General features: G+C 35.5%; 1 protein-coding gene across 22 annotated transcripts in view; it reads left to right on the forward strand.

Annotated features, from left to right (window-relative positions):
- Positions 1 to 18,733, forward strand: part of KDM6A (lysine demethylase 6A) — a 239,592-nt gene extending 220,859 nt beyond the window's left edge. For 11 of the 22 annotated variants that reach the window (NR_111960.2, NM_001291415.2, NM_001419813.1 and 8 more), the window contains 3 exons: positions 13,364 to 13,490; positions 16,033 to 16,203; positions 17,336 to 18,733. Coding sequence is in view for 20 of the 22 variants with exons in the window: in NM_001291415.2 (NP_001278344.1) it covers positions 13,364 to 13,490; positions 16,033 to 16,203; positions 17,336 to 17,365 (328 nt within the window). In the remaining 2 variants the exon portion in view is untranslated. Of the gene's footprint in view, positions 1 to 12,495; positions 12,668 to 13,363; positions 13,491 to 16,032; positions 16,204 to 17,335 lie in introns of those variants that run through there. The other 11 variants (NM_001419809.1, NM_001419810.1, NM_001419812.1 and 8 more) reach the window with 2 other exon arrangements.

Raw genomic sequence — 19,785 nt, forward strand, 5'->3', positions numbered from 1 at the left:
CAAGTCTAGACCCCTAGGCCTTGCTTTATAAGCCTCCCTTTTTGAAATAATTGTCATTGAGCCATTGCTAAAAATGTACTTTTCAGCAGCCAACATGGCTCCCTTTCTTTGATTTAATGAGTCTTTGCTTATTGTATGCAAGGCTCTAGGCTAGGCCCTGAGGGTTTATAAATACATGGTATAGGTCCTTTCTTCAAGTAACAGTTAGTGCATATAAATAAAATAGATTGAAAGAAATTCGGTGATAGATCCACTGATGTTTCCAGCCCAAGGAGTCAGGTCTTTTTAAAAAACTGTGCATTCTGGGGAAGAATGTATTTTGTGTGATGGGTGAAAATGAGGAGGCAGGGAGAAGAGAAAGGAATAGCACTTAAGCCAGCTTAAAACCAAACTCTTGCACCATGAGAAAGATGCCCCAGTTCATCCATAAAATAGCATACATACCATATCTCCTTAAGTCCAGCACAGTTACGTTTTCATCCAGTGAAAGAATAAATCCCTTTTCTTCACTTGAGCACCAGGCAAAATAGTTGGCTTGTGTAGAGAGGCCATGTTGTATGAATAACTTCAGTCTTCAACCGCTAAAGTCATACTCAACATGGTAATTTTGAAAGGCTCGGAGGAACTCTGTAGAGGAATAGCAAATGTATACTCCAAGTAATGTTCTCTTCCTCCTGCTGTCATTCTCTCCACTATACCTCTCTTTTTTGCCCTCCCTCCTGATTACCCTCCCTGCTGTGCATTTGCGTGAGCTTAAATGTATATACGATACAACTGCTATATGTTTATTGTCCATAATTGGTGGTATGTTTTGGCTTGAGTGCAATGTGTGATGAGTAGTAAAATAAGATACAGTTGTAAAAGTTGGTTAGAAGCCAATTATGCTTTGTGTACCAAACTTAAGACTTTCTTCTGTCAGAGAGCTCTTGGTGGGTTTTTAATTAATATGATCTAATTTAGGTTTCGTAAAGGTGTTTCTAGCTATTAAATAGAGCAAACTTTTGGATAGTAAGAGGAAGGAGTGAATGAAAGATTCTTTGGCTTTTAAGTCTGGATACTTAGATGGTTTAATAATAATGCTAGTTAATAAATCGGGCTCAGTACTTAGCCAAGCACTGAGCAAAGTGCTTCCCAGACTGTATTATTTCTCACAGCATCCCAAGGTCATTCAATTGACTAGAGGTAGAGCCAAGATTTAAACCCATATCTGTCTGTGAAAGTGCTTGAGTGAATCTATGGCACATGACTTCATTTGGGGGCAAGTTTGGGGAGCCATTAAAAGAGTTAGATAGAGCTATTTAGAAGAAGCTGACTAGGGAGTCTTCTACCTAGGAGTTGCTGACTGTCTTGAGAGGAAAAGGGAAGAAAAAGTTGGGGATAGCACTTTGTGGGGGATATGCCTGTTTAAGAAAAAGAAATACGTGAGCTATATAACAGGAGAGCATGGAGACTGTATTGTTGCAGAAATAGAGAAGGAGGTCTTTTTCCACAAGCACAGTTTTGCCGTATAATTGTTATATCCATATCATTGCTCTGGTCTTCAAGTCTAGTAGTTCCTGCCAAAAAATGAAGTGCTGTTGGTTTTTTCTGGTTTGTGAGCTGTGCCAGTTCTTAATAAATGGTTTTCCCTTGCCATTCCTTCCCTCTGCTTTGAGTTATTTTCTTCATCTCCTGTTCACTCTGCCACCCACAGCAGTTTGGCTTTCTACCCTTGGTAAGCCCAACACTTCTCTTGTTGAGGTCACCAGTGACCAACTGTTGTACATCTGCAAAGGCACTAATGTACACTTTCTTCAGAAATCTACCTTTTTTAAGCCTAGCATGTGAATGCCTCAAATCTGATTCCCACTTGCCTTGTCAGCCATTTCTCCCACTGCTGCTTTTAAATGTGTGCTTGAATTGTTTTCTATTTATTAATATTTTTACCACTCCATTTGCTATTTTAAACCATCTTTAATATGAACTGCAGTTTTTACATCTCCCCCTTTTTTTCCTTTGAATCATCTTTTAATAAAGCATTAATTCTGTATATGTTGAGCATACGAATTATAGGCTATATTAAAAGAAAAAATAACAGCTAAATGAAATGAAATAGAGAAGATATACAAACATAGTCTTCTTCCTTAATTCTCCCCTGAATTGTTATTTTTAATTCTTAAATACTGTGAATCTACAGTGTGTAATTTTTAGGCTTTCATAGTTAAGTGGTAAGCCCGCTCAACCAAAAAGAATGTAAGCAAAATTTACCTTGTGCCTTCTCATCCGCTCCCTCCCTCCCTCAGCTCTACCCAGTTCTTTTTATTCAGTGAATGTTTATTGTGTACTGCATTGGTACCCAGGTTTGTGCTAGGTGAAAAGGATTTGATCACTTCTCAGACTGCTCAAAGTGAATTGAGAAACCGTCAAACCATTAAAACATGTGATCTTTAATGATAGAGATATTGGTAAGAAACCATGGTGGGGCAGCATAGAGGAAGGTTCTTCCGAAAGAGTGGAAGGTTCAGTAAAGGCTTCACCAGAAGTACTACAGCTTCGCAGTCTCTTATTGTAAACCCTTTAGACTAAATGTGTTTTGGAGCTAAGAATTTTTAGATTTAGCAAAAACCACAGTGAGATACCATCTCACACCAGTCAGAATTACTATTATTAAAAAGTTAAAAAATAACAGGTGCTGGCAAGGATGTGGAGAAAAAGGAACAGTTACACACTGTTGGCGGGACTGTAAATTAGTCCAACCATTGTGGAAAGCAGTGCAGTGATTCCTCAAAGAGCCAAAAGCAGAACTACCATTCAACTCAGCAATCCCATTACTGAGTATATAACCAAAGGAATATAAATTATTCTATCATAAAGACACATGCACACATATATTAATTGCAGCACTATTCACAATAGCAAAGACATGGAATCAACCTAAATGCTCATCAGTGGTAGACTGCATAAAGAAAATGTATATATACACCATGGATTACTATACAGCTATAAAATAAGAATGAGATCATCTTTTTTCCAGGAACATGGATGGAGCTGGAGGCCATATCCTCAGCAAATGAATGCAGAAACAGAAAACCAAGTGCCACATGTTCTCACTTATAAGTGGGAGCTAAATTATGAGACCACATGGACGCATAGAGGGGAACAACAGACACTGGGACCGATTGGAGTATGGAGGGTGGGAGGAGAGAGAGGAAAAATAACTAATGGATACTAGACTTAATACCTGGGTGACAAAATAATCTGTACAACAAACCCCCATGACACAAGCTTACCTATAACAGACCACATGTACCCCTGAACTTAAAAGTTAAAAAAAAGATAATGTTTTTTAGATTTAGAAAGGTAATTGAGTACATTTATAATATATCGTACCTTCCCAGCAGGGTCTGTTGCAGTATCCTGGGAACGAACATATTAGTATTTCAGCACTAAAACATAGAAATAGTCACTCTAATGAGCTAAGTGAATACCGTAAGTAGCCCCAGGTCAAATTTCAGCACCACATGAGTTTATGCAAGATTTATGAAAAATTTGTGGGATTATAATAAGGGATTATGAACCTGTATTTGCACTGGGTTATTTAATAATGGGAAATGGTGTTTTCTTCTGTTGTCACCTCCTGATTCCTCATTATCATTTTGAGAATAAATCGCCTGTACTTCCTTAAGCAAATCAGTATCACTCTTGCTTTTTCTCTGCACTTTCAAGTTCAAGTCTGGTCTTTAAGGACCCTGTGATTCCATAAAGTTCTGTTTATCTGAGTAAGTCATTTAGTAAATCTCTTCAAATTTCTACAACCTAGCCATTTTGCTAAAATACATTAATCATATTCTGCTTCACATTCTTCCAGATATTTCCTATGTTGGCATAAGTCAAAAGAATATATATTATCTTGATTACTTCTTTCATTTGATAATGCAGTGAACTTGACTTAAAAGTTCACAACCTAACTACTTAGGAAAATTTAAGTGGCAGCTCAGTGGATAACTTTCTCTTTTGACTTCATTTAACTATTTAAATGAAATAACTTTTCTCTGCAAATGAACTTAATTTCTCCTTTAGACCAAACTTTAAGTGTCTTTCCCTGGTTTATGCCATACTTGTGTGTTCATATTAGCTGAAGATAGATTTAAACTTTTGTTGCTAAAAATTTCAGGTAGACTTCACATTGGCAATGACTGCCAATGAGAAGTCTTTATCATTTTTAATATTTTAAATAATGGTCAAATTTGCATGTTGGATCACTTGGTAGCAAGATGAAGCATTAAATGGAAGGCAGAAGATTTAGAGACATAAATTAGAAGGTAATTGCTCCAGTTCAGACAAAAGGAGAGACAAAGATTAGAGGGTAAAATAGACTACACTTGGTAATTGATTGGTGGTAGAGTTGAGCGAGAAATCTGTATCGCTGGACTTTGGCTTGGGCCAGACAGTGGAACATTTGTGCTTGTTGTTGAAACTGGAGATAAAGAAGAAATGAGTTGGGTGTAGAGAATGATGGTTATCAACTTGACTAGCTTTAGACATGCAGAACTTGAATTGCTCCTACAAGATTTAAGTTGAAATTTCTATTAAATAACAGCTAGATGGATGTATGGTTCTATTGCTTAGAAAAGGAGTCTGAGATAATACATTTGTAGCCCTCAGCTGGCTGATAGGCAATCACTGCTAAGGTATTAGCTGTTGAGTTTTCCGAACCATTAGTTATTTTTAAGGTAGAGCAGTGCCCATACAAAGAAATGAATAAAGGAAAACTTTAAGATCAAGGGTACTGATCTCCTTTAATTCATTCAACTATGATGGTTTTTCTAGGTTAATATATCTAGTCTCCTTTAAAATATATAAAATTTACATGTATAACACATCACTGCCCTCCTCCCCAACTTGTTTATACTTTTTCCTCCAACTTTTACTTTGAAATTTCTTAAACCTACAAAAAAAGTTGAAAGAGTAGTACAGCGAATACCTGTGTAACCTCATCTGGATTCATCAGTTAAGTTTTTGCCACATTTATTTAGCGGTCTCTGTATACACATACATGCTTGCACGTGCTTTTTCATATGAGCTCTATGAAAAAGTAATTTGCAGACATCATGACATATCACTTCAGATACTTCATCCTGCATCTTAAGAATAAGGTTATTCTCCTACATACCTGTAATACGATTTACCATATCTAGGAAATAAGAAATTCCATAGTATGAGTTAATACACAGTCCACATTTAGATTTCCCCAACTATCCAAAAATGTCTTTTTTTTTTTTTAAGCACTTGCCTCTCCCTATTGAATTAAGGTTCACATTTAATTGAATATGTAGTCATTGTGTCTTCTTTAGTCTCTTAAACCTACGAAAGTCTTTTTTTAATGACATTTTCTTCTTGAAGACAGCAGACCTTTGTGTTGTGCAGAGTTCTACATTCTGGATTTGTTTTCTCATAATTGTATTTAGGGTAAATTTTTGACAAAAACTACTAATGATGTTTACTTTTGTTAAACTCCTGCCTCACTCCAGTATAAACTATGTCAGAGATATCTTCCTTAGTGGGTCCTGAGTAAATTAAGTTTTACTTTAAAAAGGCAATTTTAAAACTTAAAATTAGGGGTGAGGAGATTATTGTTACTTTCTAGTCCATCTTTTTCATAGTATATGGTTTTTATCCTGTGGCTTTAATTTTACGACTGGTAGATTAAGATTTAAAAGAAACCCTCACTGGGTGCGGTGGCTCACGCCTATAATCCCAACACTTTGGGAGGCCAAGTCGGGCAGATCACAAGGTCAGGAGATCGAGACCATCCTGGCTGACATGGTGAAACCCCGTCTCTACTAAAACTACAAAAAATTAGCTGGGTGTGGTGGCACACGCCTGTAGTCCCAGCTACTTGGGAGGCTTAGGCAGGAGAATCACTTGAACTCGGGAAGTGGAGGTTGCAGTGAGCCGAGATTGTGCCACTGCACTCTAGTCTGGGCGACGGAGCAAGACTCTGTCTCAAAAAAAAAAAAAACCCCTCTGCAAATTCATGATTCCCATTTTAAGGTATTTGAGATACAGTACTTTGGGTTATATTTTATTTTTCTCTTTGTACAATACTAAGACGCTTTACGTCATTTTCATAAGACTCATACATTCCTTGTTTTGCCTCTGAAGTATTTTTTTTAACAGGACATTTGAAAGGAATCAAGTGTTAGTGCAGGAGATGAGCTCTGCAGACTGTTGGTACTGATGAGAGTTCCCTGTAGATAACAGGCTTTCAGAATAAATAGACTTACAGGTGCAGTTGATAAAGCCGACCCCCAGCAAATATGCCATAAGTTGTTACAGTCATGTTGGACTGTTGTCAAGTTAGTGCAATGGTAGTATGTTTTCAATACATTGGAAACTTTGGTTTATTCACCAGCAACTTTGTGAGTTCACTTAAATCACCACGATAAGTAATTTAGTAAATTTTAAAATATGTCAAAAACAGAATGCCAAGGAGTGCATTTTCCTCTGAAAAGTTTAATGTTAGGAAGTCTCAGATTTAGGAGGAGCATATCAAATAGTATGCTGAGGAGTAGAAAGTTAATTTTGAGGATACACATTCATTTGTCTTACGCCCCTGTAATCTGCCAGACACTAACACATTCTAAAAATGCTAATAACATATAAGCCAATGTTTGAAAATAAATTCTCTTCAATTTCAACAGTGCCAAGCTCATTGAAAACCACTCTTGCACAAACTTAATTTCTTGTCATATTATTTTGTTATTCTTTTGACCATCTTATAAAGCACTGTTTTATATTTTTTCTTTTTCTTTCTTCTTTTTTTTTTTAATTAAAAAAATAAAGACAGGATCTCCCCATGTTGCCCAGGCTGGTCTCAAACTCCTGGGCTCAAGGGATCCCCCTGCCTCGGCCTCCCAAAGTGCTAGGATTAACAGGCATGAGCCACCATGCCTGGCCAATATTTCAGTTTTTAAATGTGCCATCTTATATGCACAATGTTAATGTTTTATGTGCTTTCTCTGTGCCTTTTGTGTATATGTGATCACTATGTGTTCGATGTTTGCCCATCCATTTTTATTTTCCTAAGTCTTAGAGTCTATGCTATTTAATATCCCAGTAAGATATTACAGGAAGGGCAGCATTGTGTAGTTTCTGGAATCCAATCTGCCTTCATATCTTAGCTTCTTCATTTATTGGCTGGGGAACTGCGGACAGATTGCTAAACCTATTAGTCTTTATTTCCTCTTCTGAAAAATGGGGATAATACTGTCTTTCTAAAATAACTTTTATGACTGTTATGTGAGTCTTAGCATACGATAAGCATTCAGTAAATGGTAGTTGTTGTAATTATTATTATTTTATAGAAACCCCAATTACCTTCTATTTTTTTAATTAATATTCTTGGACCTAGTGTAGTGCTTCTCAAATGTGGACAATTTTTCCTCCCCCCACTTTCCTTTCCCAGGGGACATATGCCAATATCATGACTTGAGTGGGAGAGATGCTACTAGCTTTTTTGAGTAGAGATTAGGAATGCTGCTATTAAATATCCTGCAGGGCACAAGACAGCTCCCCATAACAAAGAATTACCATACCAATAGTGCTGAGATTGAAAAACCCTTATCTAATCTAATGGAATCCAGACTAAACACCTTTTGAATAACTTTATTTCATTTTCTTTTTGGTGTGTTAACTATTATACTTTGAGTTGGCATTCATCATACAATTTTTTCAAATTAAATAACTTTAATTTAGTAATTATATGATTATTTTAATACAGTTTAGGAATTTGACATGTCAAGTTCAAATAATTAACATTTATTGAGCATTAACTGCCAGGCACAAGTCTAAGCATTTTATATAACATATGTAATCCTCATAACAGCACTGTAAGTTAAATATCCCCTTTTTTCAGCTGAGGAAACTGAGGCACAGAGGTGTGCAGCTGGAATTTGAACCCAGACAGTCTAGGTATAGAATCTGCTCTTGCCCACTCTACAGCTCTTTCTATGGTCTCTTAAAGGCTCTAATCCTAAAAACACAGTGATTCGTGAAGTTGATATTTTACCAGTCTATTGAAAAATACACTACAAATCTGAGACATTGGTTTTAATTTTGACACTTACGAAGTAAGAGGTTTGCACTGGTTCTCTCACTTGCTGATCACAAGAATCACCTGGAACTCTTATTAAAATAGGTTTTCAGAGCTCTATGCAAAGAACTCTGGGAACCTTTTTCATGGTGGCCTAGTGAATCTTATCAGACAAATTAGGTCTTTTTTAGAACTAAGAATTTCTTTGCTCCCTTTTCTTTCACATACATTATAGGTTATTACCTTACCTACCTACATAAAATATACTTTATCACAAACACAGAATTTCAAAATGTAAATTAAAGCGAACTCATAAGTATTAACTCCCTTTTCTCTTTGATTCCCTTATTTAAATGGATAAATATGGTGTTATACAACTCTTTAGTCCACACCCATTTGACCTAATAATGGACCAAGATTTTTCCAACACTATGCGTAGATAATGGTATAGCCATAAAGACCAGTCCATAGTTAGCATTGATCCTAGTGATGTAGTGCTGTAGTCCTGGTGGTCTTCTAATACTCTGTTGGGTTTGATATATAATGCTTTTTGATAACAATGACCAAACAAAATCTAAAAATTCTAAAACTGCATTCTCATGGTTAATATATATGTATTTGCTTTCATGCTTTTTTCCCCCCATCTAGGAGCTTAAAGTTCTTAAGATATGCGTTTTTTCATTGACTGAGACCTTGATTTTCAGCCATGTGGTTGGTGTAAATAAAACTGTTAGATGCCTTATTGACATTCATATACCCACTATTGTCCTAGGAGAACACAACCCTGGAGTGACAGGTGGCAAGAGAGTTTTCAGAGCTCATATGTTGGCTTGCTTTTCCTGCATGGCTCTTTCAGTAAGGGAGACTAGGCAGAGCAAGGCACCTCTTGGTGTTCGTTAAGTTATCTACTTCTCAGTGGCTGAGACTGTTACCATAAAGCATTTAAAAGTGCAGTACCAAGTTAACCCATATTTCATCTATCTTCACATTGATATTTGGTAACTTACTTTGGAAACTGAGTCACATTGCCATTAGAATGTCAGAGTAACCCCCAGTGTTGTCTTAACTTTGATGTAATATAATATTATTATGGCTTCATTCCTGTTACTTCCTGCCCCAGAAACGTCATGCGAAGATTAAAATCTTGTAAGAACAGTTGTTTGTTCCCCAAAGAAGCCCCCATACTACCTTCTTGTGGCATTCTTTCTGTACCGAGTGTGCCTTCCCCCAACTCTTTTTCCTGTTCATAATCAATTAAGTAAATTGATTCAGAAATTTCAACTTCTGTTTGAAAACTTATGTGATTCTCTACCTCCCCTCACCTGAAGATGATCTCTCGCTCTCCTTTTAGTATCCATAGCATACTATGTTTATTTTTTGCCTAATGTCCTCATGTATTGATTTATGAATATATTGTGCATTAATTGCCCATAAATATAAGGCTTTTGATAATTTGTCTACATATTATTTTATTCAGTTCTCTTGTTCTAATATTGCAAGTGTATTTTCATTCTATTCCCTGTGTGAAGTTGTTCTCTAAAATTCTATCGCTCTTTAAGCTTCATCTTTGCAGATCACTTTTTGGTTGGATTAGATTCTAGTATATAACCTCAAATATGCCAAGCTCTCAATCAGCTTCTTCCTCATGGTTTTCTTCCATTCTGGAACTTCCTTTGTCCCCTGCCTTTTTGTGTAGTCTTTCATCGAAACAACTAAAAACAGGGATTGGGTCCTGAAACCAATACTGATCCTTAAACGTCAAAGAATTTCCTGCTTTTCTAGCTGTTGAAATCATTTTTGACCTTGTTTCTAAAGTACACGTATGCAAAATAGCATTTTCCATCTTCTATGTGTTTACACCTTTTGCAAATGATTTATTCTTCTGTTTTTAGCAAATTGAATTCTTTTTTTTTTTTTTTTTGAGACGGAGTTTCGCTCTTGTTGCCCAGGCTGGAGTGCAATGGTGCGATCTCGTCTCACCACAACCTCCACCTCCCGGATTCAAGCAATTCTTCTGCCTCAGCCTCCCCAGTAGCTGGGATTACAGGCATATGCCACCACACCTGGCTAATTTTGTATGTTTAGTAGAGACGGGGTTTCTCCATGTTGGTCAGGCTGGTCTCAAACTCCCAACCTCAGGTGATCACCCGTCTCGGCCTGCCAAAGTGCTGGGATTACAGGCGCGAGCCACCGCGCCCAGCCCTCAAATTGAATTCTTAATTACCATAAGGTAAACTTACAGAAATTCAGCAAAACTAAAATTAAGAGGAAATGAGAATCCTGATTTTGTTTAGCTTTTATTTTTTAGCTCTTTAATGTACTTAAATGTTGTCTTTGTATAAAATCAGTCTGGGGCTAATCAAAGCAGAACAGGTTATCATTTAAGTCTTAAATATTATATGTTTCTTTACTACGATCCTTTCCCTAAATCACTTTGCTTTCTATTTTTCCCTATCCTTCAATTGAATCACATTCTTTCTTTTTTAGGACTTGCTCATTACTGTGGACTCCATAAGAGCCTCTCTCTCTCTAAATTCTTCTGTTCCAAGTGCTGCCTTTTGAAAAGGCGAAGGAACAAAAATTTCCAATGTTAAAAAAGTAAAGGCAAGCAGAAATCACAGTTTTGTTATTCATCATCAGATAAGATTAATAGAACTGTCAGTTTTCTAAGATTTTGGTATCACACAAAATATAAAATATAAATTCTGGAGCAGAATTTATTCCAGAAGCAGACTGACTACTTATGGCTTAATATTTATTCTTAGCAACCTTATCTCAGACCCCTTGTTATTTGCAGGAAATCAGTATACTGCCTTTTTTAAGATGAAACTACCAAACTAACAATACATTGTAAATTTACAGTCTAAGTGCCAGTGTAGTCAGTGGCATTGAAGATGAAAATTTATCTGCTGAGTAACAAGTAGCCTGATACTCCATAGAACCAAGGCTCTGTGTTTGGAAAAACTGTGCTTCCTGAGCCCAAGAATCTCATCTTCGAGGGGGAGTGGGTGATAATAAGATGTGAGGAGACCAAAAAGAAGGGTTACAGTGTGAGATAGTAAGGGGGAAGCTTGAGATTTTCTTTTAAAAACTCATAGCTCAACCACTTAAATAGCTTTATGACATTAGACAAACTTAACTTCTCTGCGCTCCTTTTTCCCCATTTGCAAGATAGAGATAACCTTTCTCCCAGGGTTGTTAGGAGGCTTACTTGGCATAATGTATATGAAATAGCAAATACATGGCCCCTGTCTGGTTCTTATTTTTTATTTGCTTTTATTATATTATTTTTGTTTGGCCATGTGGAAGGACAGTTGAGTTTGAAGTCTTCCAATGGTATCTACAGAGTTTTAGGCATTATTTTCCTGTAAGAGACCTTATTTTGAAGCCCTACTTGGAAAACTTGTTCAGTAAGATCTGTATCTTTAGAAGTGAATTGTATGGGACATGAGGAGGGACAAAGAGGAGCAGGTGCTATTCAAGAGCTAGAGACAGAGTCTGAATTATATTCTCTCTTTGCTATGATCTAAATTTTTACTTGCTACCTTCCCTGGTGCCCTATACAGGCACGCATGCACACATCAATAGCTGTCCTAACCTTGACACACAGCCACAGGCTAAAGCAGGGGTCCCCAACCCCTGGGCTGCAGACCAGTATCAGTCCTTCGCCTGTTAGGAACCGAGCTGCACAGCAGGAGGTGAGCAGCAGGCAAGCTGGCATTACTGCTTGAGCTCCAGCTCCTTTCAGATCAGTAGTGTTATTAGATTCTCATAGGAGCAGGAACACTACTGTGAACTGCACATGCAAGGCATCTGGGTTCCTTGCTCCTTATGCGAAGCTAATGCCTGATGATCTGAGGTGGAACAATTTCATCCCAAAACCATTCCCCCCCGCCCCTTCCCCTAGGTCTGTGGAAAAACTCATCTTCCACGAAACTGATCTCTGGTGCTAAAAAGGTTGGGGACCGCTGGTCTAAAGCAATGTTTTTGTTTCTAAATAAGTTAAATATGCAAGAATTGTTGAAGCCAAGCTGAGAGTGCAATCTTTGAATATTGCACTTAAGGAATTGACCTACAACTATAAAATTGATATTGTTTTATATTTGTTAAGTAAGCTAACAGGTTTTACAAATGTTTTTAGTCATTCCCCACCTCCCCACCCACCACCAGGTTAATATACACGGGTTCTGATACATAACAATACTTTAACATAGTAACGTATAAAATAGCAAAGAAATATAAAATAAGGTATATTAAATATTTTAGTACTTATTTGAATTTTAGTTGTGTATTGATTAAGCTACTATATGCTAGGCACTGCCCTAGGTGGTGAGTAGATAAGTAGATAGCAGGAATAAAATAGATAAGACCTTTGCTTTCAAGACAACACTCAGTTGCTAAACCCATTTCCTTTTCTTTAGGATATTTTCATTGTCTCCGAATTTTAGAGCTGAAAAGTGCCTTAGAGATCATCTAGTTCAACCTCTCCGTTCAAATGGAGAACCTGAGCCACTAAGATTCACAGGAGAGTAAGATAATTGAGCAAACAACTCCAAGTAATGACAGAAAATTATAGGAGAATCAGTACAAATTGTGAGAATTTACTATGTTGTTAGCATCCTAAGTATGAGTTTAGAAAAGGTAGAAGTTATAAGAAAAGTTAAATTGTTTTAATATGAATGGATTCCACTGTTACCTTCAAGATAAAATGAAGACATACTTTTTTCTTTAGTATTATAGTTAAACGAATATTGTATCCTGTAGTGACTAAATTCATAAATATTTTTTCTGCTTATAGACTTGAGTTTCAAAAGCAGCTGTACAGATGATGCTGTTAATGAGTGTTTAGGTAGTGTTGATTAAAAAAAAAATAATGTGCCTTCCTGCCTTACTAGAATCATAGAAGTTCATATCTGGAATTCATACCCCTTATTTCACGGATGAGGAAATTGACTCCCAGAGAGGTTAACTGACTTGCCCAAATTAAGAGCCAAAATTAGCAACTCACATTTAAGCAGGGAGTCAGTTTTTATGTACTAAGACCATTATATTTTGATATCCAGATATTACTTTTCTCAACTTTAAATGTTTTAATATTGTCTTCATCAGGCCTGCTGAGCATTGTCATTTTAAAATCTGAGAATATTTGATAAATTGATGAAAGAAAAATTATGAAGTCATAGACATTAGAATCAAGTCTCTTGGCATTATTTCTAGTTGGTATATCTTTTATGCTAAAAATATTCAATATTCAGTTGCTGGTCACAAATAATTTCTCCCCCACAATAGGTATTGTCTTCTAAGAACTCTGAAGCAATGTCAGACATTGAGGGAAGCTCTCATTGCTGCAGGAAAAGAGATTATATGGCATGGGCGGACAAAAGAAGAACCAGCTCATTACTGTAGCATTTGTGAAGTAAGTAATTGTTTTTATCCACAGTTGTTTTATAAAGCCTCTTCCCTCTCCACTGTTGGTTTCTCTTTATTTTTAAAAAACTTTTTTATACTTTTATGTAATCCAGTTTATAGTAATTAACATTGGATTCAATTTTGTTGCTTAGCCATTATATTAAAATTCAGTGTGATAATAATGATATTTCACTGTGAATTAACCTTAAAAGTATCTACTGCAGAGTCATTTTTGTGGTAGATCTTCAACAGACAATAATCAGCAAATTTAGTCTGAGATTTTAAACTAAGAACAATCTAGATGTACACAGATGCCAATAAACTGGATGTTTGGTGTAACTCTAGGCAGATCGATTATCAGTCCTCTCTGGTGCAATTAACAATACATTTGTCAATCTTGTGTGGCCAAGGCTTGCAAGAGGTGCAGGAACAAAGATGTGGTGCCTCCTATGAAGGAGCTTAAATTCTACTTGGAGCAGACAGATTATAAACAACTAATTGTAATGTACATGAGACTATGATGAATGTGAAGTTGGACTTCCTGTTAATGATAACACTGAGGGGGAAAATGACCTAATTTTTTCTTCTAGTATTGGCATAAGAACTCACAAACGTATTAGCATTTGAGTCCATCCTTGGAAAAAAGAGTATGATATCAAGTAGACTAAAAAAGTGATGAGAATCGGAGGTAGACTGTCATGGGCTATAGGCACAAGAAGAGAACAGGGAAATGAAATGGTTTTAGAAAAGGTTGAATGTGTTCCGATTTGGCTGGAACACAGACTGTGCAAATTCCGCTCATAAGTCTAGGTGGCATTTAATTTATAGCACATCTTGAATGGTTTTAAGGAATTTGATATTCCAAGGTTATTGAAGCCATTAAAAGGTTTTGAGCAGGCAACTAAGGGTAAGTAAGATATGTGTTTCAGGGAGAAAAGTGGTTGGAAAGGACAGCGATATATAAGCTATTGCAGTGGTCTTAAGAGTTATGGGACTGTAAACTAGTTCAACCATTGTGGAAGTCAGTGTGGCGATTCCTCAGGGATCTAGAACTAGAAATACCATTTGACCCAGCCATCCCATTACTGGGTATATACCCAAATGACTATAAATCATGCTGCTATAAAGACACATGCACACGTATGTTTATTGCAGCATTATTCACAATAGCAAAGACTTGGAACCAACCCAAATGTCCAACAATGATAGACTGGATTAAGAAAATGTGGCACATATACACCATGGAATACTATGCAGCCATAAAAAATGATGAGTTCATGTCCTTTGTAGGGACATGGATGAAATTGGAAACCATCATTCTCAGTAAACTATCGCAAGAACAAAAAACCAAACACCGCACATTCTCACTCATAGGTGGGAATTGAACAGTGAGATCACATGGACACAGGAAGGGGAACATCACACTCTGGGGACTGTTGTGGGATGGGGGGAGGGGGGAGGGATAGCACTGGGAGATATACCTAATGCTAGATGATGAGTTAGTGGGTGCAGCGCACCACCATGGCACATGTATACATATGTAACTAACCTGCACAATGTGCACATGTACCCTAAAACTTAAAGTATAATTTAAAAAAATAATAATAATAATAAATAAATAAATAAATAAATAAATAAATAAAGTACCTGTAAAAAAAAAAAAGTTATTTTAAGGCCTAGACTAGAACCTGGCAATGGGAATATTAAAGAAGGGAAAGAATTCAAAAATATTTAGAGGGTAAAATCAGCGAGACACCTCATTAAATGGCAGAAGTGGAAGGACAAGTTGAAGAATGCTCACCAATTTTCTAGCTCAGGTCACTAGGTTTGTATTGCTGCTTGTTGACAGTAATGGATAACATGGTGAACTCTAGGATTGTAGTTAACTGTTAAAAGAAGACATGGGATCATAAGAGTTTTCTGTCATTGAAGAAATTTAAGGATAAGCCAAAGACAGGATGTTGATGGTCCATTTCAAACCTTGAAATTCTGTAATTCTAGCATCAACCTTTATTTGAAATGATAGAATCCATTGATTTTTTTTTTAAATGTCATATGGCCTGACCAAAGTGAGTCATTAGGAGATCAGATAGATTCCAGTTAGGTGTGTTGTTCCTTATCCTACCTGAACCCTAGCAACTCATCAATCTTTCTGTATAAGATAGAGGTATTATTTCTAAAATCATGCTGTACTCATGAATACATAAAAATGATCACTTATGTCTGATTGTATACTAATGTTTTAGATTTAAAAATAGGTTGACCTTTATCAAACTTTTGAACTGGGCTTTGCCAGTGGTTGTCATGAGTATGTCATTCCCTTTGATTATTCCCCTAAATATGCATTACTACCCATGTCTTTGGATTTGGTGCAAAATAAACCTGGTCTGTTAAAGATTCTCAAACACAGCCATGTTTTTCTTACCACCTACTCTTAACCAGAGATCACTGTCCACAATTTCATTCAAGTAGAATTCCATGATTATACTAAAGCAGTACAGTAAATACCACTATCTCTATTGAATACGTTTTTCTCTTGTATAAAACAGGTGGAGGTTTTTGATCTGCTTTTTGTCACTAATGAGAGTAATTCACGAAAGACCTACATAGTACATTGCCAAGATTGTGCACGAAAAACAAGCGGAAACTTGGAAAACTTTGTGGTGCTAGAACAGTACAAAATGGAGGACCTGATGCAAGTCTATGACCAATTTACATTAGTAAGTCAAATCAACATGTGAGTACATAGTTAGCTGGGTTATGAAGCAGCAGTGTTTGCTCTGCCACCTGATAAGTAGGAGGTAATGAAATATTTTAAATTTTCCTTTGGCTCATTATATATTGCATGAGGGTATATTCATATCATTCCCCCCTCCATTTCCAAGTATTTATTCCTATAAAATTGGCATATATCATTTTCAGTTTTCCTGGGTGAGACCAGCCTAAATAATTTTACAACAATTACATTTAAAAATCTTTGCGTGCTTTAGATAGAACACTATCATATCCTTTATGTCATTTTATCTCAGTTGATAAAATGTTTGTGTACGTAGGTTATTAGAGCCCACAAAATGAATCAGTAAGTGTGCTTTTAAATATACTTCTGCTTTTAGAGCTAATTGTATTTGTTTAAAATTTTGTCCTTGCCAGAAGTATTAACCTCATGGGAGTATTTAATGGAGCTTAACTTCCTGGTATATTATGTAACCTTATGAAATTCAAGTATACTTATAAATTGCACAGTTTTTAATTTCAGACAGCAGATGCTTGGGGGAAGCATTTTACTTTCGCAGATCAATAGCTTTATGAATAGAAACACAGAGATAATTTATGAATTGTTGATTTTCTCCAGTACTTGTCTCCCACACATATGTGATCAGAAACTAACTTTTTGAAATTTACTTTCTGATATTTTCACTTGAATGGTCTTCAAGATTGCTTGAAGAAGAAAATTATCTGAAATATGTTGAAGAAAATATATTACCTAGCTGAGATAGATTCTGAAGGCAGTCACTAGTGAAATTGTAATTTGTTAAATTATTTTGCAAGAAGCCCCCTTTTTTTAAGCAATCTTAAAAAATGGTAAACGTAATAACATTCCAAGAGTTTTTGACTAATTGGTGAAGAAGTATAGAAAATTGCAAGTACACTGAGTAGGATAATGGTCTTAGATTCTTAGGAAGATTGGCTGAATGGGAGATAGTAAGGTAGGCTGTACTTTTATGTTGCATAGCAGGCTGTTGAACTTTTTGAGAGTTATTTCCCCTAACTTCACAAGCAGACTATATGTTTGTAGCCATGAGCTATTAACAATTTGTATATCAAAATAACCTACCTTACTTTTATTTTCAGGCTCCTCCATTACCATCCGCCTCATCTTGATATTGTTCCATGGACATTAAATGAGACCTTTTCTGCTATTCAGGAAATAACCCAGTTCTGCACCACTGGTTTTTGTAGCTATCTCGTAAGGCTGCTGGCTGAAAACTGTGTCTATGCAACCTTCCAAGTGCGGAGTGTCAACCAACTGGACGGGAGAGAGTACTGCTCCTACTCCAGGACTCTCACAAAGCTGATGAGCTGTACTTCAGAAAAAAATAATAATTTCCATGTTTTGTATATATCTGACAAAACTGGCAACATCTTACAGACTACTGACTTGAAGACAACCTCTTTTATATTTCTCTATTTCTGGGCTGATGAATTTGTTTTCATCTGTCTTTTCCCCCTTCAGAATTTTCCTTGGAAAAAAAATACTAGCCTAGCTGGTCATTTCTTTGTAAGGTAGTTAGCAATTTTAAGTCTTTCTTTGGTCAACTTTTTTTTAATGTGAAAAGTTAGGTAAGACACTTTTTTACTGCTTTTATGTTTTTCTGTCTTGTTTTGAGACCATGATGGTTACACTTTTGGTTCCTAAATAAAATTTAAAAAATTAACAGCCAAGTCACAAAGGTAATGGATTGCACATAGACTAAGGAATAAACTTCAGATTTGTGATTTTTGTTTCTAATCTTGATGTAAATTTACACTATTTATAAATACATATTTATTGCTTGAAAATATTTGTGAATGGAATGCTGTTATTTTTTCCAGATTTACCTGCCATTGAAATTTTAAGGAGTTCTGTAATTTCAAACACTACTCCTATTACATTTTCTATGTGTAAATAAAACTGCTTAGCATTGTACAGAAACTTTTATTAAAATTGTTTAATGTTTAAAGAGTTTTCTATTGTTTGAGTTTTAAAAAAGACTTTATGTACAGTGCCCAGTTTTTGTTCATTTTTGAAATCTGATTATATATATTTTATATATACTTATGTATGTATATATAATATATATAGAAATCTGGATATATATGTATAAATCTTTAGAACTTAAATTTTTCTCGTTTTAAGTTTCACATCTATGGTAGATTTTTGAGGTGTCTACTGTAAAGTATTGCTTACAAAAAGTATGATTATTTTTAAAGAAATATATATGGTATGTATCCTCAAGACCTAAAATGTCAGACTGGTTTATTGTTAAGTTGCAATTACTGCAATGACAGACCAATAAACAATTGCTGCCAAAATGTAGTATAATAGTAGAAAACAAATAGTGATTGAACTTAAGATTTTAAAGGGACTGTTATATGGGCTTGACAAATCCTGTACAATACTTAGTACCATTTTATATGGAAAAGGGGATTCAGGATGAAGGGCTCTATTTTAGAATGCAAATAAATTAAGAGACTTATTTTTTAATGTTAGGCAGTTTTGAAATCTCATGCTTTTTTGCTTGCATGACATGATTTGGGGGAGGAGTGCTGCAAATTCCCTATCACTAGTAAAATATAGCAATCTATATTAGCATTCACAAGTCACTGCTAATTAATGATAGTATTTCATTTTGTAATAACAGCACCTTGCATTTGTACCTCCATTTTCTGACGCATTTGACACATACTCTCATTTAATCATATTGTTCTTTGTATGAATTTTCCAGGAAGCATTAGTGAAGAAGCATAGAGAATGCTGTAAATCAAGATTATATATATATATGGCTAAAGAGAGCTTATTCTATCTAGTGAAATGCCCTGCTGATTGCATTAATCACATACTCTTTCAGATTTAGAGTATGTTATCCTCTTAGAAACAGTTTGAAGGTTGAAAGCATGGAGATACTTTTTTCGATTAGTTAATAATTTGGTAAATATTGGCTATCTACTAGAAGTAATCATCTCTTATTTATAATTTAAGGGAAAAATGCCAAATCTATTTTAATTATGGAGCAAGAATGCTTGTCTAAATGCTATTCAGGACATTTAATCACTAATATTTTTAAGTGGTTTTCTTGTAAAATCTCCTATCCAAAGGTTATTGAGAACTCAAGACAAACATTTTTGCAAACAAAAATTGCAAGCCAACCATCAAGAAGCAAAGATTATAAGAATGCTGAAGCACCACCTAAATGTTTCTTAACCTGTTCTAGTTTATCTTACTGACACAATGTCTTATTTTCTATGATTTTAAGATAGTTTATTGCCAAGATTAATTTATCTGACATTTAAGAGAATAAGTTATCTGGCATTTAGATAAATTATCTGACATTTAAGAGAAATTTAGTATAATTCATATTTGGATTCTATGTCAAGAATAATAATTATTCAGGAACCTAGTCTTTGAATGGGTAGAGGATAGGGAGTAGAAATCAAAGACATCAACATTACTCTGAAATATAATTAGATAATTGAAATCCTATGTAAACTGCTTTTTTTATCTTCAGTTGAACATCCTTTATAATTGCATTTTTAAGGTTTTA

Source organism: Homo sapiens, chromosome X, assembly GCF_000001405.40.
Source record: "Homo sapiens chromosome X, GRCh38.p14 Primary Assembly".
In the NCBI taxonomy this organism is placed as follows: domain Eukaryota; kingdom Metazoa; phylum Chordata; class Mammalia; order Primates; family Hominidae; genus Homo; species Homo sapiens.